General features: G+C 39.5%; 1 protein-coding gene and 1 long non-coding RNA gene across 35 annotated transcripts in view, besides 4 other annotated features; one reads left to right on the top strand and one right to left on the bottom strand.

Annotated features, from left to right (window-relative positions):
* The window catches only part of CCDC91 (coiled-coil domain containing 91), a 359,711-nt gene extending 340,010 nt beyond the window's left edge, over positions 1-19,701 (bottom strand). For 26 of the 34 annotated variants that reach the window (XM_047429081.1, XM_047429086.1, XM_047429084.1 and 23 more), the window contains exon 1: positions 19,516-19,701. The gene's annotated coding sequence lies outside the window, so the exon portion shown is untranslated. Of the gene's footprint in view, positions 1-1,593; positions 1,645-11,100; positions 11,215-19,515 lie in introns of those variants that run through there. The other 8 variants (XM_047429087.1, XM_047429095.1, XM_024449034.2 and 5 more) reach the window with 3 other exon arrangements.
* Positions 7,555-7,755: a silencer, noted in NCBI's record as "peak1636 fragment used in MPRA reporter construct". NCBI's record gives its function as "represses an SCP1 promoter by STARR-seq MPRAs in K562 erythroleukemia cells {active_cell/tissue: K562}" and the evidence as "EXISTENCE:reporter gene assay evidence [ECO:0000049][PMID:32103011]".
* Positions 18,247-18,541: a silencer, noted in NCBI's record as "tiled region #4473; HepG2 Repressive non-DNase unmatched - State 2:TssF, and K562 Repressive DNase matched - State 5:Enh". NCBI's record gives its function as "represses a minimal TATA promoter and a strong SV40 promoter by Sharpr-MPRA in HepG2 and K562 cells {active_cell/tissue: HepG2 | K562}" and the evidence as "EXISTENCE:reporter gene assay evidence [ECO:0000049][PMID:27701403]".
* Positions 19,225-19,654: a silencer, noted in NCBI's record as "silent region_4316". NCBI's record gives its function as "represses an Ori minimal core promoter by ATAC-STARR-seq in GM12878 lymphoblastoid cells {active_cell/tissue: GM12878}" and the evidence as "EXISTENCE:reporter gene assay evidence [ECO:0000049][PMID:35858748]".
* On the top strand, positions 19,419-24,532 carry LOC729291 (uncharacterized). The gene has a single exon (NR_148936.1). It is a non-coding gene; the product is annotated as an uncharacterized LOC729291 (long non-coding RNA).
* Positions 19,685-19,734: a silencer, noted in NCBI's record as "silent region_4315". NCBI's record gives its function as "represses an Ori minimal core promoter by ATAC-STARR-seq in GM12878 lymphoblastoid cells {active_cell/tissue: GM12878}" and the evidence as "EXISTENCE:reporter gene assay evidence [ECO:0000049][PMID:35858748]".
* Positions 24,533-24,572: the final 40 nt, after the last annotated feature.

The following is a 24,572-nucleotide window of genomic DNA, read 5'->3' as shown; positions in this document are numbered from 1 at the left end:
AGTTCCCTAGCTATGCAAAGAGGGTTATAAAGAAAAGAGATTTTATATAAGAAAGGATCTTGTATGGTAAATTATTGTCCTAAAGTAAAAAATGACTGGTTGTTTAAAAAGAAGGATGTTTAGGACAAGTCAGAAAGTACAAGCATGTTGTAGATGGTCTACGGAAGTTATGAAAGGATTAATGAAAAGAAATTTATGCACCAAAAGTGAAAGTTGCTAAGAATTACCATTTTAACATATAATTGAGACTACTGAAAAAAATAGGTTTACATGCAAAGTATGAGGAGAATGAAATGTGTTTTGGTAAAAGATTATAAGAAAGCATGGGATGTAAATTTTTGCAAAGTTTAAAGGGTTAAAGGATTGTTTAAAATTAGATAAAGCTAAAGTTTTAAACAAGTTGTGAAAGTGTTATAAAAAATCTTGAGCTGGGTGTAGCAACTCACATCTATAATCCTAGCACTTTGGGAGGCTGAGGCAGGTGGATCACTTGAGGTCAGGAGATCAAGACCAGCCTGGTCAACATGACGAAACCCTGTCTCTACTAAAAATACAAAAATGAGCCAGGCCTGGTGGCGGGCACCTGTAATCCCAGCTACTCGGAGGGCTGAGGCAGGAGAATCACTTGAACCCAGGGGCCGAGGTTGCAGTGAGCCGAGATCACACCACGGGCGAAAGAGTGAAACTCTGTCTCAAAAAAATAAGAAGAAGAAGAAGAAGAAATAATAAATAATTAACGTTATTAAAGAAATTCTGTGTGTGAACACATTGGCCAAATTTAAAGTGGTATTTTTCAGCTTTTCCATAAATTGAAAATGGGAATAAAAGCACAACAGGGTTTTTCTTAAAGCACTAACCTTCTCTTTCACAAAAATTGTAAAAGGTTATAAAAGGTTTATGAGAATCTCACCTTATGGTCAAACCAAGATTGAATTGATTTGTTTATAAGGTTTATTAAAAATTGGGATTGACATTAATAGTAGACTAATGCAAGGGTGAAATTTGGCTTTCTCTCTTGAACAATATTTTCATGAACTATTAAAAGATAATGGGCCAGGTATGGTGGCTCACGCCTGTAATCCCAGCACTTTGGGAGGCTGAGGCAGGCAGATCATGAGGTCAGGAGATCAAGACCATCCTGGCTAACATGGTGAAACCTCATCTCTACTAAAAATACAAAAAAAAAAAATTAGCCGGGCATGGTGGCAGGCACCTGTAGTCCCAGCTACTCAGGAGGCTGAAGCAGGAGAATGGCGTGAACCCGGGAGGCAGAGCTTGCAGTGAGCCAAGATCATGCCACTGCACTCCAGCCTGGGTGACAGAGCAAGACTCCATCTCAAAAAATAAAATAAAATAAAATAATGAAAGATTTTCTTTGCCTTTTGAATAAACTACCAAAAAGGAAGGGAAAGACAAGAGACAAAAGTTAAGTCTTCCCTCTATCAATGAGTAAAGATTTTTACCTTTTTAAAAATTTTTTAAATCATCATTTTGGCTAAATGAATGACTTACAGTAACCTGGATTCTATTTCATAATATCAAGTATTTTAAACCTTTAAAATATTTGATAGGCTTCTCAAAATCAAATTTCACCTTTAAAATGGTCTTTTCTGACATCCAACTTTGGAATGCTCCAGAGGGCCCCTGAAGCATTTAAGAGACAGGTAAACAGGATTATTTGGCATGTTAAGTTACATGGGAAACTTTATCAAAATAAAAATAATGTTTAGTCTCCAAGTTATACTTTAGTGAATTATATTAATATATGTTCCAAAATTGTATGGGACTTCTAAAATTCTATTATGTCTGAGTATATGCTATCAATCATAATTAAAGTTATGTTAAGTTATTGTAGACCACAGAAATAACCAAATTTCTTTGTCAATTGTGTTTTTAATTATAACTATTTAAAGTCATTTCCACAGTTAATTGCTTAATGCTGATGCAGTTTCTCAAAATTTCAAAAGCATGGCGTCTTTCAGGAGGTTCATGAAAGATGGAGAGGACCCTGAAAAGTACTCTTGAATACAGGTTTCTAATAGCTTTAGAATCATGTCATTTGAACTGGGTAAGAATTCCTGGAACTTTAATGAAAAGACTGACTGGGTTATAAAACTGCTAATCCAAGTAGAACAAAAATTAATTAAATACCAAGGAAATACTTTGCCAGATTTTCATGCTAAATGAGCAAATACTGAAATTATTTAGATACACAATTTGAATAAAATCCATGGTCTAAGTCAAATTACCTATGATAACCTATCAGTTATCAGTGCTATGCACCTAATTTGGAGAATCAAGTCCAATGTTAAGCATGGACTCATGAAAAACCAGAACAGCTGCCTTGTCCTTATTGAGTCCTTAAACCTTTTATTATTAAAAGTTCTGCATTCCATGACTCATCACGGAAAAGATAAAATGATCCAAATTAAATATATTGATGTGGTGACTTATAAATTGTGAAAATAGTTTATAACCAATGTTCCATTCCATATTCTTCAGAAGACAATCAAAGCTTCAGGTACATTTGCCTACCTGATGGGCCATTTAAACATTTATAAAGGGATTTCATTTGTCATTTTCAATGCATGTTTTCTGGTTGTATACAAACTTTCCCATGCAAGAGGACTGATCTTATAACACGAAATTATTGTGCCCAGTGTATTTTCATCAGGTCAATAAAGCTTTTTATGGTTTTGAGGACAATTAACCCCTTCAGAATCCAAAGACTGGATCTTCTGAGAACATCAGAGAAAGACTGCCCTTGCCATCCATTCTGCAACAAAACTTTGGAACCTTGAACCTTGGGTTCATAATCTCACAACTGAGAAGGGTCCCTCCACACTCTTGGAACTGTACACCCATTGAAATCCTTAAGGTAAAGCTAACCAGAGAAGTTTCTCCCCAGAAGAAGACAGCATCCTTGATGTGAACAGCTTTTCCCAAGATCACAGATTAAGATTTCTCTACTATCATTAGACTCTTATCTTTGAATATTTTCTTCCTTGCTTATGTCTCTATGAACAATAGAAGTGGAAAAAAGGTCTGTTGTATGCACTTACAGGATATACTTTCATTTGTGAAGAATTTTGCAGCCAGCCTTATACATGGATAATCTTACACTTTGAGAGATAAAAGATGAAGGCCCAATGTGAGTGAGAAACTTTGCCTCATAATCAGTCAGAAACAGAACATTGATTCACTCCTCTTAACCCACAACCTAGGTTAAAGAAAACATTGCCTGGAGGCCTTCACTTCCCTGGAAGGGCATCATTTGTTAGGTCCTTTTTCCACGGTTTGGAATAAAAGAGGCAATGATTAGAAATGTATCCCTCATGATAGGCTCTATAGCATGATAGGCTTTATATACTGTAAAGGCTAGGGTTACACAACAGACTTTAAATTCTCTTGTAAAAGTCATGCTAAATAGTATTAAGTGGCTAAACACAGAAGTACCTGCAGCCACTGGCACTTACGACCTATAGAGAAAACATCAGGTATTATAGAAACTCAGTTGCAGGGGATTAATGAAAAAACTACTTAGTTAAGTGAGTAGACTCTTTATCTAGCTCATTCTCTGATCTATTTGAGTTTAGGAGGTTTGGTTTATGGGGACCCTAGGTAAGGAGCATACTCCAAACCCTTGGTATTATCCTCCCGTAGTCATAATAATAGTCTCCCTAGTGCACTGTATTCTCTCAAAGGTTTTAAATGTTTGCATGCAGCCATCTCTAGAATATCTAACGGTCTCTCTTCAAGTGGAATGACAAGAGCTGAAAGAAATGTGTGACCATGAGGATACTGTAACCTATGAATGACATGCTGAGACTGGAAACCCAAATGATGTTAACAGAGAGTGGTGCTAAGGCCCTAAGTTTTGGTCACACTCTCACCTGAGAACCTGACCAAAAAGGTGGAATTTTTTTAAACAAAATTATGGGTGGCCATTGTTTTAGACTGAGCTCACTCACTAGGCCCCAACAGACCAAACCAAACAAAACTGGAGTTGCTCATGCTGAATGTGACATAATCAAACTAAGACTTTAAGGAAACACATAGATCCTACAGGAGAACAGACCTGGTTTGTTTTTCCCCTGTAAACAGGACATTCCAGCATAAGGAGGTACTCTTGTTCCTACCTTTGCAAAACTCACTGTTCTACTGTTTCCTGGTGGGTTTCAAGACCAAATAAGTACATTTACTACAATGATTGTGACATTAATGACTAAAGTTGTGCTCAATCTCTCAAAAATTGAGAAAATGAGCAAAAGGGGAGAACTGCTAAAGCAAACCAAATATGGCCTGAGAAGGACTCTATACTTGTATATTTGAGTCTTTGTGGACCAACTGCAACCTAACTTAATAGGTTGACAAGACTGAAAACCTAACTTAGGAGTATGCGTCTGTAACAATAGCTGAGTCTTAGCCAATTCCAGCAGAAAGACTTCAACCATTCATACACTGCTGAGTGTTTAAACTGTGTTCAAATAAGGGAACCAATCCAAATGTTCTATACCTCACTTCCAATTGCTGTATGTCATTTCTTTTTTGTCTACAAAACTTCTTCCACCGTGTGGCTGCAATACAGTCTCTTTGAATTTGCTGTAATTCTGGGAGCTGCCCAACTTGCAAATTGTTCATTGCTCAATTAAACTCCTTTAAATTTAATTTGGCTGAAGTTTTTCTTTTAACACTTGTTTTAACCACTCATTTTCATTTTTCCTTGAATTAAAAGTGCTGGTATACTCAGCACATTTTTCATCTCATCCTGACTTTAGTATGAATAACCTGTCATTTTTTTTTACCTCTGTACTTAATATGTAATTGAGTACCAGTATCTATAAATGACTTCTAATTCATATAGACTTTAATCCACTCAATATAACTATTAGACTTGCATGTTAAAAAAAAAAAGTCTGAAGCACACCTTCATTCGCCTTTCCCTCTTCATTCTCCCTTCTCTCTTCACTCTCCTTTCTCTCTATAATTGAGCATATTCCTGACAAAACTGACATCCTATGAGCAATATCTGAAAGAGTTTTCCTCTTCACCATTATGAAGACTAGCCGAGTCATTAACTAAAAATCCAAGGCTTTCCAACAGGCAATCTAGGCACTCCCAACATTCTTCATATGCCATAATGTCAGGGTCCTAAAGAAATGTCAACTGATTCTGTTCCTCTACTGAGTAAATACGTAATAAATCTTAAAAATGTTAATTATGCATGGTAGCAATGATACTAAAAAGTTTTATTTACTAAATTCCTATAATTGCGTATAAGTATTCCTTTAATTGTGTATAAATGTATTTGGTTGATTTTTTATATTTTACACTAACTAGACGCTACAGAAGAATTAGCTGTACTTCTAGAAACCCACTCTCTTCACCTTGAGCAACTCTGTGGTGAGCCTTTGGCAGCAATATATACCACCCAAACATGAGACACCTGTCTGGTAACAAATAAGTAAATAAATACCTAGCTTAAAACTACACATGATTCAAATGTAATAAGGAGAGTAAAGAGAAGAGAAAAATACATCTTAGAAATACCTAACATGACTTTCCCTCACAAAAAAATGCAGGAATATAAAGCAGGTCCTTTGCATCCTTAAATTCATGATGAGTGTGAAAATTTGAAATTGCTTACACTAGGAATTGCTAATTTTGCATTCTGAATGATGAAATATATCATAGCATTACTTCCCCAAAAAATGCCAGTATGCATCATTTTATTTTTAATCAGAAAATTAATAATCAAAATAAATGCATATCAGGGACTGGCTAATATGAGCATGAAAAAGCATCTCTAGTAATCATTTACAACATCTGCAAACCATTAATGTCTTCCTCATGCAGAAAAGTGATATAAATTAAATAAAACACAAAAACTCACATATATTCATATCGTAAGAACCCGAAGATGCAATACAGCTACATTTTAACCCCATGTTCTTACCAATTTTTTGAGGGCACCAATCATGTGACTCTCTTCTACAGCACTGGAAAATAATATTCTCAATTATGACTGCCAGGTACCATAGCTTGATAAGCATTCAGTTAAATGCTTTAAAAAGGGACAGAGGGAGAGATCATTTACCTTCAATAATTAAGGCATCAAAACCCACAAATACATGTCTAGACATTTTCACAAAATCAAGGAAAAACTGGGCTTCTGGTTGTTTTTTTTAACTAGGAAATTCCATTAACCAGAAAATCTAATTTCTCCAAGTAATATGTTCAGGCATAGCACACAGTGTTTAATAATATTCAGTATAATCATTTTGGCAATTCAATTGAATTTTTAGCCATAATTCACAAGCCTAAACTGAAGATTTCCTCTATTCAAAACTGACTCAAATTATTTAAGAACAAAATTACATAATGGCTAATAATGTTCTATGTCTGCACCATACTACTTATTATTAATAAAAGTAGCTTACGTTCTACCTTATCAGATCTCTTTCACTCATATAATCAACAATTCAACTTTTTCTACATGTATAAATTCCTAACTATACTGCAGACACCTCCCTAAATTTAGGAACAGATTGTAATTTTCATCCTGCAGAATTTTCACAGCACTAAGCAGATGCCTAATATTGTTAAATGGTTTGCTACATATGGGAAATTTTTACATATCTGAATTAGAATAATCCCTAAATGATCTCTTATATGCAGCTGTATACCACAGATGATAAACATGAAGCAAAGTGGTGGAATATAAGTATAATTGGGATAAGGTGACATTAAGAAGAACTTGGGCTATTAAAATACTACACAGTGACATCAGCAGGAATAGTGGAGTTAAGGAACTCCAAAAATCCTTTCCTCCATAAAGCAAGAACAACAGTGGCAAAAATTGTCAAAGTCAACTTTTTTCAGAACTCTAGAAATTAATCAAAGGCTTGCATCAATCTAGGAAGAACATATTACAGAAAAATGGCTGATTTTCATTAAGAAAAGCAAGTTTTATGGCATTTTAATCTCATCCCTCTATCCCCAGTACCATGAGAGCCTTGAAAACTAGAAGGCTCAAAAATCACAATAAAATCCAGCAGCCTAGCAGCCACCAGGAGGGGCAAAATAGGGTTGGACCTCCTCCAAAACCCCATTCCCAGAAATTGTCATTATTGACCTGTCTGGCAGTTCCCTGGAAAACACCACTCCTTTACTTGTCTTTATTTGACCTAAGAGCTTGTCCAGTGCCAATAACCTTTTCCCCAGATAGCATTTGTCAAAAACAAACAGAGCCAACTGTTTAACATCAGCTTGCCTGAGGTGGCAGTAACAGTTGGGGCAAACAACAAGCTGACCAGAATCTTAAAAGGAAAAGCTAGGTAATGAAATGTCAATAGGGGATTTTGATAAGATCCAACATATTCCTTGAACTCCAGATGGCCAAGCTCATGCAAGTACTCAGTAAAGAATTGAAAAGGTGACCTAAGCTTTGACTTCTTGCTACACTTTAAGCTCTGTACAAGTGGGAACTAAAAGCTAAAGTAGAGTTATAAACTGCCTGTCTAAGCATTGAAGGCATGCCCCATCATGCACACAGAGACCACCAGCAAAGGCTGGGAGACTCATTGCTTCCAAGCATTAGGGAAATAACTGTCCAATCATTCGCTGTCCAGTACTAACCATGCAGAGACTTTGGTGGCCACACATAAAAGAATACAAAGTTTACATAAAGAGTTCAGGAAAGTCACTATGCAAACAAATAACAAGAGCAGCAACAAGAAGAAACCCTGAGAAGGAGAATCTGATTTCCAGAGTTACCACATTAGATATTATTTAATTATCTAATTTTCAACAAAAAATTGTGAGACATGCAAGAGACAAGAAAGGATGATCTATACATGGAGAGAAAAAAGGCAGTTAATTGTCCCTAAGGAAGCCCAGACATTGGACTTATGAGACAAAGACACTAAAACGTTTTCTCTAAATATTTTCTTAGATACAGTTTCAAAGAGCTAAAGAAAACCATATATGAAGTATGATAACAATATCTCACCAAATAGAGATTATTAATGAAGAGATAGAGATTACAAAATAAAGAAACAAACATTGTGGAATTAAAAAGTATAATAATTTAATTCAAAAATTCACTAGAGAAGAAACATAGAAAACCCTCTCCCTCTCCCTCTCCCTCTCCCGATGCCGAGCCGAAGCTGGACTGTACTGCTGCCATCTCGGCTCACTGCAACCTCCCTGCCTGATTCTCCTGCCTCAGCCTGCCCAGTGCCTGCTATTGCAGGCACGCGACGCCACGCCTCACTGGTTTTTGTATTTTTTTGGTGGAGACGGGGTTTCGCTGTGTTGGCCGGGCTGGTCTCCAGCTCCTAGCCGCGAGTGATCCGCCAGCCTCGGCCTCCTGGGGTGCCGGGATTGCAGACGGAGTCTGGTTCACTCAGTGCTCAATGATGCCCAGGCTGGAGTGCAGTGGCATGATCTCGGCTCGCTACAACCTCCACCTCCCAGCCGCCTGCCTTGGCCTCCCAAAGTGCCCAGATTGCAGCCTCTGCCCGGCCGCCACCCCGTCTGGGAAGTGAGGAGCGTCTCTGCCTGGCCGCCCATCGCCTGGGACGTGAGGAGCCCCTCTGCCTGGCTGCCCAGTCTGGAAAGTGAGGAGCGTCTCTGCCCGGCCGCCATCCCATCTAGGAAGTGACGAGCGCCTCTTCCCAGTCGCCATCCCATCTAGGAAGTGAGGAGCGTCTCTGCCTGGCCGCCCATCGTCTGAGATGTGGGGAGAGCCTCTGCCCCGCTGCCCCGCCTGGGATGTGAGGAGCTCCTCTACCTGGCCGCGACCCCGTCTGGGAGGTGAGGAGCGTCTCTGCCCGGCCGCCCCGTCTGAGAAGTGAGGAGACCCTCCGCCTGGCAACCGCCCGTCTGAGAAGTGAGGAGCCCCTCCGCCCTGCAGCCGCCCCGTCTGAGAAGTGAGGAGCCCCTCCGCCCAGCAGTCACCCCGTCTGGGAAGTGAGGAGCGTCTCCGCCCAGCAGCCACCTCGTCCGGGAGGGAGGTGGGGGTCAGCCCCCCGCCCGGCCAGCCGCCCCGTCCGGGAGGTGAGGGGCGCCTCTGCCCTGCCGCCTCTACTGGGAAGTGAGGAGCCCCTCTGCCCGGCCAGCCGCCCCATCCGGGAGGGAGGTGGGGGGGTCAGCCCCCCGCCCGGCCAGCCGCCCCGTCCGGGAGGGAGGTTGGGGGGTCAGCCCCCTGCCCGGCCAGCCGCCCCGTCCGGAAGGGAGGTGGCGGGGTCAGCCCCCCGCCCGGCCAGCCGCCCTGTCTGGGAGGTGAGGGGCGCCTCTGCCCAGCCGCCCCTACTGGGAAGTGAGGAGCCCCTCTGCCCGGCCACCACCCCGTCTGGGAGGTGTACCCAACAGCTCATTGAGAACAGGCCATGATGACAATGGCGGTTTTGTGGAATAGAAAGGGGGGAAAGGTGGGGAAAAGATTGAGAAATCGGATGGTTGCTGTGTCTGTGTAGAAAGAGGTAGACATGGGAGACTTTTCATTTTGTTCTGTACTAAGAAAAATTCTTATCCTGTTGATCTGTGACCTTACCCCCAACCCTGTGCTCTCTGAATCATGTGCTGTGTCCACTCAGGGTTAAATGGATTAAGGGCGGTGCAAGATGTGCTTTGTTAAACAGATGCTTGAAGGCAGCATGCTCGTTAAGAGTCATCACCACTCCCTAATCTCAAGTACCCAGGGACACAAACACTGCGGAAGGCCGCAGGGTCCTCTGCCTAGGAAAACCAGAGACCTTTGTTCACTTGTTTATCTGCTGACCTTCCCTCCACTATTGTCCTATGACCCTGCCAAATCCCCCTCTGCGAGAAACACCCAAGAATAATCAATAAAAATAAATAAATAAATAAATAAAAAGAAACATAGAAAAGCTACCACTCAAAAAAAAAAAAAAATTCACTAGAAGAGTTCAACTGCACATTTGAGCTGGCACAAAAATCAGTGAACTTGAAGATAGGTCAATTGAGATTATCCAGGCTAAGGAACAGAATGAAAAAAGAATGAAGAAAAATAAACAGAGCATCAAAGACCTATAGGAAACCATCAAGCATACCAACATATGCATAATGAGAGAACCAGAAAAAGAGGAGAAAAAGGAAGGAACAGAAAGAATATTTGAAGAAACGATACAAGGAAACTTCTCTAATTTGATGAAAAGCATTAATCTATACATCTAAGAAGCTCAATAAACTCAAAGTAGGATAAAATTCAAGAGATCCACACTGTAACACATCATAACCAAACTTTCGAAACATAAAGAGAGAATACTGAAAGCAACAAGAGAGAAGCAACTCATCAAAAATAGGGAATCGTCAAAAAGATTTCCTATCTGATTTCTCACTAAAAACCACGGAGGCCAGAGGCAGTGGAAAGATACATTCAAATTCCTAAAAGAAAAAGACTGCCAACTAAGAATTCTAATTCTAGCAAAACTATTCTTTGAATATGAAGAAATTATGACTTTCTCAGATAAACAAAACCAAAGAGAATGTATGCTAGCACATCTTATCTATGAGAAATACTAACCTGGGTCTCTCAGGCTGAACTGAAAGGACAAGAGACAGTATACTTGAATCTACATAAAGAAATTAAGAACACTGGTAAAGATAACTACATAGGTAAATATAAAAGAAAATATAAATGTATGTTTGGTTGTGGCTCTTTTCTCCTATGTGATTGAAAAGACAGCTGCATAAATCAAGAATTATAAATCAGTGTTAATGGATACTGTATTAATGTAGAAAGATGTAACTTACACAATAATAGCATGAAGGAAGGGGAGGGAATATATAGGAACAAAATTTGTAAACTTAAACTTAGTTAGTATTAATTAATATAGATTGTTATAAAATAAGGTACTATTTGTAAGTCCCAGGGCAACCACTGAGAACTCAAAAAATATTTAGTAAAAGAAACGTCAAGGCCGGGTGCAGTGGCTCACAACTGTATTCCCAGCACTTGGAAGGCCAAGGTAAGAGGATCACTTGCGGCCAGGAGTTCAAGACCAGCTCAGGCAACAGAGTAAGAACCTGTCTCTACAAAAAATAAAAAAATTATCCAAGCATCGTGGCACACACCTGTAGTCCTAGCTACTAGGGAGGCTCAGGCAGGAGAATCACTTGAGCCAAGGAGCTGGAGGCTGCAGTGAGCTATGATGGCGCCACTACACTTCAGCTTAGGCGATTCTGTCTCTTAAAAAAAAAAAAAGAGAAACATCAAGGAAATTAAAATGGTACATTAGAAAATATATACTTAATACAAAAAAAGGCAGAGAAAGCAATAATGTAGTAATTAAGGAATGAAAAAAATTACTTGATATACAGAAAAAATAGCAAAATGACAGACATAAATACTACCTTAAGCATTAGTAAATACATTAATTGTAAATGGATTCAACACTCCACTCATAAGTCAGAAATTGCTAGACTGAATAAAAAGAGAAATAAATCTCTTCTGCATAACCAACAAGAGATAAAACTTAAAATATCTAAATATCTCATGAAAACTATCACCATTTATTAAACATTCTTCTCATTCAGCAAAATGGAAAATAGGTATTCATTGCCACTTGTCTTCTGATTCAGGGTGGCCCATTTAATGTCATTCAGCTTTCACAGGCTTATTTTGTTTTTCATGCCCAATTTTGGCAAACTAAGCAAAAGGTCTAACCTAATTTTAAGTTGTCTGTATAAAATTCGTAATTAAAATGATACTTAATCTCATCTTTAATCACTATCTTTTACTGATGTCTAAGCATGTAGTTTTTAAATAATATTCATATAAGCCCATCTGTCAGTGAAGCATATTCATAGATTAATGGATCTTGCATAACACTGCAGCACTGTCTTTACTACAATTGCAGAAGTTCTGAATTCTCATAATATAAAATGTAAGCAGCTTTTTAAAATGACTATGTAGACCTACTCTTTAACCACAGGGCTGAATATAATAAAAAACATAGGAGGTGGTAGACACAGAAAAGCCAACCTTCTCTGAATACAAGGAAAAAGTGATTTCATACTTCACAAACTAATTATTTCATTCACATAGTCCATGTTGAAATGTAAATACCAAAATGTACATATCCTTCTAAGGAAAACAAATTGTTTTACCAGAATTATAACAGAGCTCATTTTATAAAGTAATTAACATTATTTTTTATCTCCATTTATTAAACCTATAATTACAAAATTCTTCACATTTCAAAATAAATAAATTGTTGTATCCTCTACTAGTCACAGTAAATATGATCCTAATTATTTAAGTAAAATTGTATGGCATATAGCCAACAATAATCTTTACGCCACTTAGAAAATAAGAATAGACTTAAGAGGATATAAATTTGGACAAACATTTCAGAAGTACTGATAACATCTCATGCTAATTTGCTAATCTGCTTAGTAAATTTATTGTTAGCATTAAAATTAATATATTCAAAATAAACATAATATATACAAAATACCTAAAATAACATAATACTCATAGTATAGCCTACAAATAAAAGCACAGATTCAGGAAGACTTGTGAACAAACTCAAGCTCTACCACTTACTATTAATACAACCTTAGGTAAGTTTGCTCACTTGGAGACAGTTTCCTTTGTCTATGAAATGGAAAAAAATGTTACTACCAAAAAGTAGCAGTTGGAATTCAATAAAACAACATACATAAAGGGTTTTACATGAAGCTAGGCACAAAGATTTCTATAATTCTTATCAAAAGAAGAGCACAGGTGGTATATTACATTATACGTAATTCATCAGTAATTCTGTATAGATCAGTGGAAACAAAATAGTATAGGCAGAAAAGTTATTTAATGATTACAGACTCTAAACCGCTTAAAAAACGGTTTGAACTAGACCGATTTCTAAGGAACTCTGTTTCTGAAATTCAAAGATTCTACCTTAAGGTGATGCCCAAAAAGCCAATGATACTGACCCCAAATTTCTTACAATAAATAGCCTAAAGAACAAATTTCAAGAGCACCAAACAGAGGCAGTGGATATAAGAACCTGAAAAAAAAATGTATATACTTTGAGTGATAATCATATTTTTATAAATTACTTTGAAAAATTATCAGAGTTAAGCACAAATATTTAATGTTAATTTCAACAGGGAAAACTGAAATACAATTTTACTATTTAACAATAAGAAAATCATTAAATGATGGGCATATCCATATAACACAATAACCCATAACCATTACAAATCAAGTTTTCAAAATAATTCATGATGCAAGTACTCCCAATGTGATTCTGAGTGAAAAGGGCAAAATATAAAACAATATTAACAATTTTGTTTTTAAAATATATTTGCAAAAGAAAAGACTGAAAGAAAAGCCACCACAATGTTTGCAGCAGTTACCTCAGATTACTGAAAATAGGGTAACTTTTTTTATAGTCTTCCTTTATTTCCAACTTTCTACTGTAATCAACTATCATGTTCACAATCAAAAAAAGCAATATAACATTCACTTGTGATTAAATTTTAAAGCTCTAAGCAGGAGTTAAAGAGAACTTCCTTGGCTGGGTCAAAATGATATCCACAAAAAACTTACAGCTAACTACTCAATGGTAAAAGACTGTATACCTTCTCTACTAAGATGAAGAGCAATGCAAGGATATCTGTGCTGATCTGACTTGTTCTAGTTAACATTAGCAAAGGTCCTAGCCAGTGCAAAGAGACAAGAAAACAAAATAAAAGGCAAACAAATGAGAAAATGTGAAATAAAGCTGTCTCTACCAGCAGACAGCAGTAGCTACAAAAGCTACTAGAACGAACTCGTGAGTTTAACAAGGTTGTAAAATTCAAAAATTCAAGATCAATATTAAAATACTGATTCACTTACATAAGTAATTGGAAATTTAAAAATTTTTAAAGGTTACTGTTTACAACAGAACCAAACAACATAAAACATTTAGATACAAACATAACAAAATATGCGCAACATTTTTATGCGGAAAGCTTAAAAACAGAGAGAAATCAAAGACCAAATAAACGTAGAAAGGTTGTTTCATTTTGTTTTCTCTCTTGAAAGAGGCTCTCTCTGTTGCAGAGGCTAGAGTGCAGTGGCATGATCACAACTCACTGCAGCCTCTACCTCCCAGGCTCAATCAATCCTCCCACCTCAGCCTTCCAAGTATCAGGGACTACAGGTGCATGGCAACACACCCAGCTAATTTTTCTCATTTTTGTAGAGATGCGGTTTTGCCATGTTGTCCAAGCTGCTCTTGAACTCCTGGGCTCAAGCGATCCTCCCACCTTGACCTCCCAAAGTGCTGGGATTACAAGCATGAGCCATAGCAGTGGGACAGGAAAGGTATTTTATTAATGGATTAGAAAACAACATTTTTAAGATGTCAATTCTCCCCAAATGGATCCATAACTTCAATGCAATCATACTAAAAATTCCACAATGCTTTTATATAGAAATAAAGAGATTCTAAAATGTACATGGAAAGAAAAAGAACTCGAATACTCAAAAATTTTTGGCAAACAACAACAAAGTTGGAGGACTCAGGCTTTTTGACTTCAAGATACACTATAACGCTACCATAATAAGGACTGAGGTTTTAGCCAAACAGACGCACAGAACAATGGAACAAAATAGAGTCCACAAAGCAAACCACACAAACATACTCAACTGATTTTTAACAAGGCAAGCCAAAGAAATTTAATGAAGAAAAGATAGTAATGAGAGGTGAAGCCGGCTGGACTTCCGGGTCAGGTGGGGACTTGGAGAACTTTTCTATCTAGCTAAAGGATTGTAAATGCACCAATCAGAGTCTGTGTCTAGCTAACAGTTTGTAAACGCACCAATCAGCACTCTGTGTCTAGCTAATCGGGTAGGGGACTTGGAGAACTTTTCTGTGTAGCTAAAGGATTGTAAATGCACCAATCAGCGCTCTGTGTCTAGCTAAAGGTTTGTAAATGCACCAATCAACACTCTGGCAAAACGGACCAATCAGCACTCTGTAAAACGGACCAATCAGCACTCTGTAAAATGGACCAATCAGCTCTCTGTAAATGGACCAATCTGCAGGATGTGAGTGGGGCCAAATAAGGGAATAAAAGCAGGCCACCCGAGCCAGCAGCAGCAACCCCTTCGGGTCCCCTTCCATGCTGTGGAAGCTTTGTTCTTTCACTGTTCGCAATAAATCTTGCTGCTGCTCACTCTTTGGGTCCGCACTATCTTTATGAGCTGTAACACTCACAGTGAAGGTATGCAGCTTCACTCCTGAAGCCAGCGAGACCACGAACCCACCAGGAAGAACGAACAACTCCGGACACGCCACCTTTACGAGCTATAACAATGAGCTGCAACACCCACCACAAAGGTCTACAGCTTCACTCCTGAGGCCAGCGAGACCACAAACCCACTGGGAGGAACAAACAACTCAGGACACGCCACCTCTATGAGCTGTAACACTCACCGCAAAGGTCTGCAGCTTCACTCCTGAAGCCAGCAAGGCCACAAACCCACCAGGAGGAATGAACAATTTCGGATGCAGCTTCACTCCTGAAGCCAGCAAGGCCACAAACCCACCAGGAGGAATGAACAATTTCGGATGCGCCACCTTTAAGAGCTGTATCACTCACTGCAAAGGTCTGTGGCTTTGCTCCTGAAGTCGGCAAGACCATGGACCCACCAGAAGGAAGAAACTCCAGACACATCTGAACTTCTGGAGGAACAAACTCCGGACACACCATCTTCAAGAACTGTAACACTCACTGCGAGGGTCCGTGCCTTCATTCTTGAGGTCAGCAAGACCAAGAACCCACTGGAAGGAACCAATTCTGGACACAGTAAGAATAGTCTTTTTCAAGAGATGGTGCTGCAAGACTGGGGCATCCATACACACACACACAGAGAGAGAAAGAGAGAGAGAGAGTCTTGACCCCTACCTCACACTATATGCAAAAATTAACTCGAAATTGGTCACAGACCTAAATCTAAAATTTAAAGCTATAAAAGTTCTGGAAGAAAACATAAGAAAAAAAATCTTTGCAACGTTGGATTAGGCAAAATTTCTCATGATAAAAAAGCACAAATCATAAGAGAAAAAACTGATAAACTGGACTTCACCAAAATTTAAAACTTCTGCTCTTTGAAAGATACTGTTAAGAAAATGAAAGGACAAACTACAGACTCAGACTCGAAGGAAATGCTGTGAACATATATACGATAATGAATTTGTATCCAGACTGTATAAAACACTTGCAAACCAATAACAAACAACCCTATTAAAAACGAACAAACGATTTCAGCAGACACTTAATCAAAGAAGATACACAGATGGCAAATAATAGCACAGGAAAAGACGCTCAATATGTTAGAAGAAAAATTCAAATTAAAACATAAATGGGTTTTCACTAAACGCATATTAGAATAGCTAACATTAAAAATAAAATGACAAGTGCTGACCAGAATGTGGAGCAACTGGAACATCAAACATCACTTGCGGGAATGCAAAATGAAACAGCTACCTTGGAAAACAGTTTGGTAATTTCCTTCTTTTTTTTTTTTTTGTTTTTGAGACGGAGTTTCACTCTGTCACCAGTCTGGAGTGCAGTGGCACGATCTTAGCTCACTGTAACCTCCGACTCCCTGGTTCAAGCAGTTCTCCTGCCTCAGCCTCCTGAGTAGCTGGGATTACAGGCACCCGCAACCACGCCCAGCTAATTTTTGTATTTTTAGTAGAGACGGAGTTTCACCATGTTGACCAGGATGGTCTCAATCTCCTGACCTCGTGAGCTGCCCACCTCGGCCTCCCAAAGTGCTGGGATTACAAGTCTGAGCCACTGCGCCCAGCTGGTAATTTCTTTTAAGGTTAAACATGCACTTGCACACGGCCCAAGAATTCCATTCCTAGATGTGTAACCAAAAGAAATGAAAACATATGTCTACACAAAGACTTGCACCTTAATGTACAAAGAACAGCACATGAATGTTTACAGTACCTTCATTCCTAAATGCCAAAAATTGTTCATCAAATGGCGAATAAACATACTATGATATATTCACACAATGAAATACTACTCAGCTGTAAAAAACAACCAAGCATCAACAAACATGCATCAACATGGATGAATCAAAGCATTAAGTGAAAGAAACCTGAAACATAAGGCTACATACTGTATGATTCCATTTACATAACATACCAGAAAAGACAAAGCTATAGACAGGGACAGAGAACAGATCAGTGGTTGCTAGGACCTATGAGTGAGGGGAGGAAACTTTAGAATGATGGGAATATTATTTGTCTGGATTGTGGCAGTGGTTCCATTATATGCATTTGTCAGACTTTATACAGCAATATAATAAAAATTACTTTTTTACTTATAAATCATACCTCAATAAAACTTGATTTTTTTTAAAAAAAGCAACATATGCCCTTTTTAAAAATATGCATCAGTTTAAATGAGCTAAACCAAACTTACTGGGTATGGGAATAGGGCAGGGAGGAACAGTAAGGAGACCAAAAATCCTTAAAATACTGGAAATCTAAAATATTAATTTATCGTTAGTAAATAAGAAACAGATATACATAAACACCAAGAGTTAATCCAAAGAGAGATGCCTTTTTCAATTAAGTTCTCATTGTTTGGACAGAAAATAAGAAAATTTGATAAACTTTCAAGGAAGATTAAAAATCACAAGGAACAGGTTGACAAAGGAGTGCTGTAATTATGACCTACAGTTTGGGAACAACTTATCTAAAACATTCCCCTTCCATTTTACTTAATGGAACCAGTCTTATCCACCCATCCACTCTACTCCACTCCCACTCCGTCTTCTACTATCTTCATTCATAACAATCATATGTAATGCATACATCTGACACATATAGATAAGAGTACAACATAAAATGCCTATTACACCAAATTCCTGTTTGTCCATTTAAGCTCCAGACAAGCTCATTTTTAAACGTCTTTTTTCTCTATTTTAATGCCACCCAAAACCAAAGTGATGTCCCTCTGGAATGATTTTCTGCAGTTTCTTTTGTGTGTTATTAAGTACTAAGATGATCAAAATAAACAAAAATGTCTCAGAAGTTTTGAGTGGATCACTCCAATAAGAAGCTACATTTTTCCATTTAATAAAAGTTAAGAGGTAAGTTGTAACTTTCATCACTTTGTTTTCTTTATGTTTATTCCATTGGGCTTATACTGTTGCTAGGAAACCAGTTCATAAGATTTCCCAGCCCACAGAACACCCTCCTAGGCAGCCTGGAGGATACCAAACTTCGTAACCAGGGCAATTCTCTACCACACAGTTTACTGGTTAGCCAACACCATGCAGGTGCACTCTGCCTGGCATGACCCTTACTACATTTACCTAATAGGTACAGACAGTATAACCAATCCCCTCAACGCAATAGAAATTGTAGCAGAGGGCAATCAGGTGATCATTAAGTGTAGAACTCTCCGACAGCAGGGAACACAACAGCGAATTTGTTGTCAGTCCCTGTCACCCCACCCAACTAAATATTGTGGGGGGGGGAAGGGTTGCCTTAAATTGTGAAGTAAAATGTCAGCCCACTCCAATAACTCCACCACGCAACATGCAAACTGCTTCCAAAAACCATCATCCAACTCCCACCCGGATTAATATTTGGAGAGAAAGGTGGCATCAGTATCCGCACAGCTGAGAGGGGAGGGAAGGAAAGAGTCAGAATTCATAAGGGGCCGCTGAGTCACCTAAAATTGTGGCCAAGACTTTACCCTCCAGGAAATCGAGCTCTGCCCCAACTCTCATCAAGGAAGCAAGTGAGAGTAGCAGCAGCAACATCATCCTACCAAAAAAACACCAGCGCAGCTTTTAATAGAGTTCCACTCCTTAAAGTGAAGCCAAAAATAGGTTTCATGTCCAAAGCTTTCCTCCGCAGTAGGCGACACGCGCAGATGGAGAAAATATCTTTATTGTTGGGAAAGGGAGGCGTGCTAACGGGGACGAAGGATACCTCACCACTTGGCAAAGTTACTGGCTCCTGCCTTGACCCTGAAATGCCACTTTTATTGCAACATGTGGCCCAAGAAACTCTAAGGAAATGTGGCTGGCAGACGCTGTAGAGCTTTTACCCCAATGTACTTGGCAAAGTAAAAGGGGATACATAAACCAGGCGCGTTCTGTGTAATCTAAGCAAGAATCAAGGTCTCCGTTCGGTAGGCGCTTCGGTGACACAATAATCACGTGTTCGTGGGCGTAGACTTTCGAAAACACTCGATTCTGGGACGTGCAGATACCGGTACCCACCGGCGAGCGCAGGAACGAGTGGGCACTCCCACCCCCGGGAGCTGGCTCCGTTCCCGCAGGAGGTTGGTCACGCCCCCTGACTCCTGGTCGCTGCGACAGCCAAGGGCGAGGCCGCAGCAGGCGGGCTGCAGGCGGCGGAAGCTCGTCCGCGCTCCTCCCCCGGTGGGGCGCTCTCCGCTCGCCTCGCGCGGCCCCGACCCCAAGACCCAGGCCCCGGAAGGCGAGCGTTCACTTACCTGCTCCCCTCTCTCGCTCTCCGCTGCCGCCGCTGCGCCGCTCACCCACGCTGCCCGGTGAGCCACCCCCAGCACACAGACCCCTACGCGTACACCCGAGGCACGGCCCCAGGCCCTTGAGGGGAGACCGCGGCCCAGCCACACAGGTTGGGGTAGCCCACGCACCACCCGGCTTCGAACACCTCTGCCCCCGGAAGTTGATTTCCGCCAAGGCCCGCCCAACACAGCGCCCGTCACTCAACGTAAACACGCGCGTCACGTGGCCCCAGGCCGAGGCCCGGGTCGGGGCCCCATGTTCAGAGCCCTGCCACCCCAGCTTGAGCGTGGTCTTTGGAGCGTTGCCCTGTGAAAAGGGGTGACTTTGCCATGCTCCTTCCCAGTCTACCTCCTGTTAGTTACAGTTTCTCATTCCTCTTGAGTAGCAGGCCCTGTTTCTCCACCTAATCCCTGCAAGTAAACCGTCCCCCAAATCAAAATGAGTTCCATCTGGAACTTTGTAGGATTGGTCCTAAGAAGATCCCGCCGAATCTCTTCACCACTTCCTAGCAGAGCACAGTAAAACCGGGGACTAAGCAAAGTGGCTGACATGTAGTAAGTGCTCAAGAAATGGATGTTGACTAGATGCTACCTCTCATCTTTGCCTGTCTGAACTCTCAAGCACCGGATGCAAGTAGACTGAGAGCCTCCGCCAACCAGTAAGATGACTTTGGTCAAAGAATTCTGCTCTAGAGTTACTTTTGTTCTTGTCTTCAACTCCAGATCACAGCAATTCATACGTGCCATCTCTGTTGCAGAGTTTTCTTGCAAAGCCTTTCTTAAAAGCTTTCTGTCAAATAGCTTGTCCTGAAGCAATAGGAAAAGAATAGCGTAATTCACAGATTATTTATTTGAAAGGAAGGAATGATTATATAGATGTCTTTGTCCATTTCAGACTGTCAATAGCGATGAGAGAAACAGTCAACTAGCAGTCCACTCGTGAATGTTTCTTCTGTTTTTGCCATGGAAGGATTTTGAAGAACATTCATTCAACAAATTTTTATTGATTGTATACCACATACCTAGTCCTGGGCCAAGTTTTGACAATTCAAGAGTGAGCAAGGTAACACTCAAGATATTTGTCTTCAAGAAGCTTACAGTCTAGTGAGAAAGAAAGACACTAACCTGGGGACTTTGAGCATAAATCTCTGGAATATTCACATTCCTTGTATAACAAGTATTCTTTCATCCTTGGACACTGGGTTTCTCATCTGTTGAACAAAATTGGCTTAAACCTGTAATCTCTGTTCTGTACTGGAAGTGGAAAATATTAGCAAGGCATCCTGACAAGTCTGCCATAAGTGCTGGCCTAAGTAGTTAATGAGCAGTTTCAGTATTGAGCAAGTCACCTTGACTACATTCTTTTTCCAGCCCACCCCCTTCTTTATGCATACAAAAAACATTTCTATTGTAAGAAATGTAATGCTTTCTTACACATATTTTTTTATCTGTCTACTAGACTACCAAGTCAAGGACCACTTCTCACTTGTATATCCAGCAATCTACTCACTTCTCATTTGTCTTTGTGTATCCAGCAGTCTAGCAAAGTGTCTAGTAGTTAGAAAAAAGGTATTCATAAATATTTCTTAAACTTAGTAAGGTTACCTTTATATTATTTTGTCTCTCATATCTCTTTCTGCTGGAAACCAGATTAGTTTCTGGGAGTTCCTTCCCATTGATGTACTTACATGTTCACTCTGTCCCGATATTCAATACTAAACTGTATTCCATACTAAACAGATTTATAATAAGTAACTAATATTTATTATTAATATTTGCTATGTGCCTGGCATTAGATTAAATATTTTAAATCCCATATATAACTTACCACAATAATTTTACAAAGTAGGTATATTAATATATTTACACTTTAGATGAGGTTACAGATTTAGGAAGTGTAAATTGACCAAGTGGATTTAAAGCCAGATCTGCCCAACAGAAGGGCTTGTTTATTCACTATAGCACATCACTTTGCTTTTTATATCACTTATTTATCAGTGAATTCAAATCCTACCAACTCCATGAAATCTTTCTTCCTTCCCCACAGTAATCTTTTTCTTTATAAACAATTCAGTGATTTTAGTATATTCACAGAGTTATGCATGCTTTACCACATTCGATTTTAGAGTATTTTCACAGCCCCAAAAAGAAACCCCATACCCTTTGGCCCCAACTTCTCCCTCCTCTCCCCAGCCCTAGGCAACCAGTAATCCACTTTCCGTCTGTATGCATTTGTCTATCTTGAACATTTCATATAAATGGAATCATGCAATGTGTGGTCTTTTGTGACTGGCTTCTTTCACTTAACATGTTTTCAAAGTCCCTTCATCGGTTGGGTTGTTTCAGCTTTTTGAATATTATGAATAATGCTCCTGTTGACATTCATGTACAAGTTTTCGTGTCAACATATGTTCTCATTTCTCTTGGATATATACCTAAGAGTGGAATTGCGGGGTCATATGGTAACTCTATGTTTAACCCCTTGTGGAACTACCACACTGTTTTCCAAAGTGGCTGTACCATTTTACTTTCTCACCAGCAATGTATGAGGGCTCTAATTTCTCTATTGTGCCTTTTCTTGTCTCTCTAGAACATGTGCCTCTCTTACTTTTCAGAATACTTTTTCCATGAGCCATCTTCAATTATTATTCTTTGTTGTACATGTATCTGCAAGCCCATTTTCCTAATAGTTTGTGACCTTCTGAGATGAAAAACATGGTGCCTGCCCTTAAGAGAATCACATCTAGAAAAATATACAATCAAATCAGATATTACAGTGATAATAAACACTGAAATAAAGGTTATTGCTAAAAGGTGGAGAAAGAACACCTCACTCAGCCTAGGTTAAACAGGAAGTACTTCTCATAGAATGTATCAAAGCTCAGGATTAGTCCTGAAGAATCTATTGGAATTGACCAAGCTAAGGAAAGACATGAGTATGCTCCAGAAAAAGGAACATATACCTTTGTATATATTTCCTTGTCTATGAACTGTGGAGGTAAGTATATTTTGCAGGTAAGCATACCATAGAAGCAAACATTGTGGTATGCAGGTATGCAGCAGGAGAAATGGGAAATGTAGATGTAAGATGATGAAGAGTTTTGTAAACTGTGTTAAGGAGTTTGAACTGTATCCTGAAGGTAATGGGAAATTGCTGAATTAGTTAAGCAAGGTTGGAGAAGAATTACTTCAGCAGCAGTATAGAGGAAGGATTATTGGGTAGGAGAGACGGGGCCAAGACTAGAAAAACAAACAAACCAGATAGAAGACATAAAATAACTAAAATGAGGAATTAATGACTGCCTGAGCCGAGATGGTACCCATGAAATTGGCAGAAAGGATTTTAAAGGCACATGGCCAACAAAAAAGGAGGAAAGAAGCCAGTCACGGTGGCTTATACGTGTAACCCCAGCAATGTGGGAGGCTGAGGTAGGAGGATCACTGGAGCCTGGGAGGTGGAGGCTGCAGTGAGCTGTGATTGTGCCACTGCATTCCAGCTGGATGACAGAGCAAGACCCTTTCAAAAAAAAAAAAAAAAGGAGGAGTAAGAAGAAGAAGAAAGAATTGAAGATATATTCCAGGTTTCTGGCTGTAGTCATCAAGAGGAAGATTGGGCACTTGGTGATAAGAATAATGAAACACTACAATGATGGTATCTTAGTTTGTTCAGGCTGCTATAGAAAAATACTGGGTAGCTTATGAATGCAAATTTATTTCTCACAGGTCTGGAGTCTAAGAAGTTCAAGATTAAGACACCAGCAGATTGGATGTCTAGTGGGGCCCTGCTTTCTGGGTCATAGATTGTGCCTTCTAGCTGTGTCCTCATGTGGTGGAAGAGACAGGGCGGCTCTCTGGAGCCTCTTTTATAAGGGCAGTAATCCTAGTCATGAGGCTTGTGTCCTCATGATTTAATCACCTCCCAAAGGCCCCACCTCCTAACGCTATCTCATTGGTGATTAAGTTTAACATATGAATTGTGGGGGGACAAAAACATTCAGACCACAGCAGATAGGTTGCAGGAATTTAAACTGCCATTGAAGTTTATGTGCTGTTGCAGTCACCCACAGAAATGAGATGAACCCTCACCCAAACTTTGGCTCCTATTTCAAGACTTAGCATACCACATATGCACCAACAGGGTATAAAAAGGTTTATTACTCACATAATGAGCCTTTCTAGGAAGAGTACAGCAGACCTCCTAAGCAGGTTTTAAAATGACTTGAGAGAGTAGGAGAAAAAGCTATTGGGATTTTTTTCATGGCTAGGACATGGCGCTTGGGTGAAAAAGCCCACACAGGGCAGGGACTGTATGGCTCAAATTTTCCACCAGCACCAAAATAGGAAATACCTATTTTGCACCATATTTGGATCTAGGCAAGCTTTCTCATCAAGTTGCCTAGATTCAGATATCATACAAAAGGGAACAGGTGAGGAGCCGGACTTAAAACTTGTTAAGAATCAAACATAAAAAATTATGTCAGACACAATTACATATTCTTAGATCTAGTTTAACTGCAACTAACAATATAGTTGTTACATATATATATGCTTTGAAAGTGATTATCATGGACACTGTAGTTGCAATCCCAACATTTATTCCACTCTTCCCACATTGTGCATAGTACACCTAAGAAATTGAGGTGAAATTAACCTCACCTTTATCTCCAAAGTTAGTCCAGTTAAGATAACCCAATCCCAACCTACGTTGTTCCCCTGGCCACAAGATGTTGTTCAGGGTTGAGCAAATTGGCACCAATTACAGGACTTTAGCCCCAAAATTGTGGGCTGTGGCTCCTTTCTCTCCCTTGATAAATGAGAAAGCATGTGGTTCTTGTTACTGAGGGCAGTCATCTTGTAACCAAGAAAATAAAAAAGCTGGAACCCTGATCAAATAAGCAAAGATTTATAACTTTGTATATAAGAAGAAGGACATAAACAGTAAACTGTGAAGGTTTTAAATAAACACTTTTCTGCCTCCTTCCTTTTAATCTACTGGTTTCTTCTGTTATGGCAGCTTTTAG

This window comes from Homo sapiens, chromosome 12 (genome assembly GCF_000001405.40).
Source record: "Homo sapiens chromosome 12, GRCh38.p14 Primary Assembly".
Taxonomy (NCBI): domain Eukaryota; kingdom Metazoa; phylum Chordata; class Mammalia; order Primates; family Hominidae; genus Homo; species Homo sapiens.
Note: the sequence above shows the minus strand (reverse complement) of the source record. Positions and strands in the feature narration are given on the sequence as shown.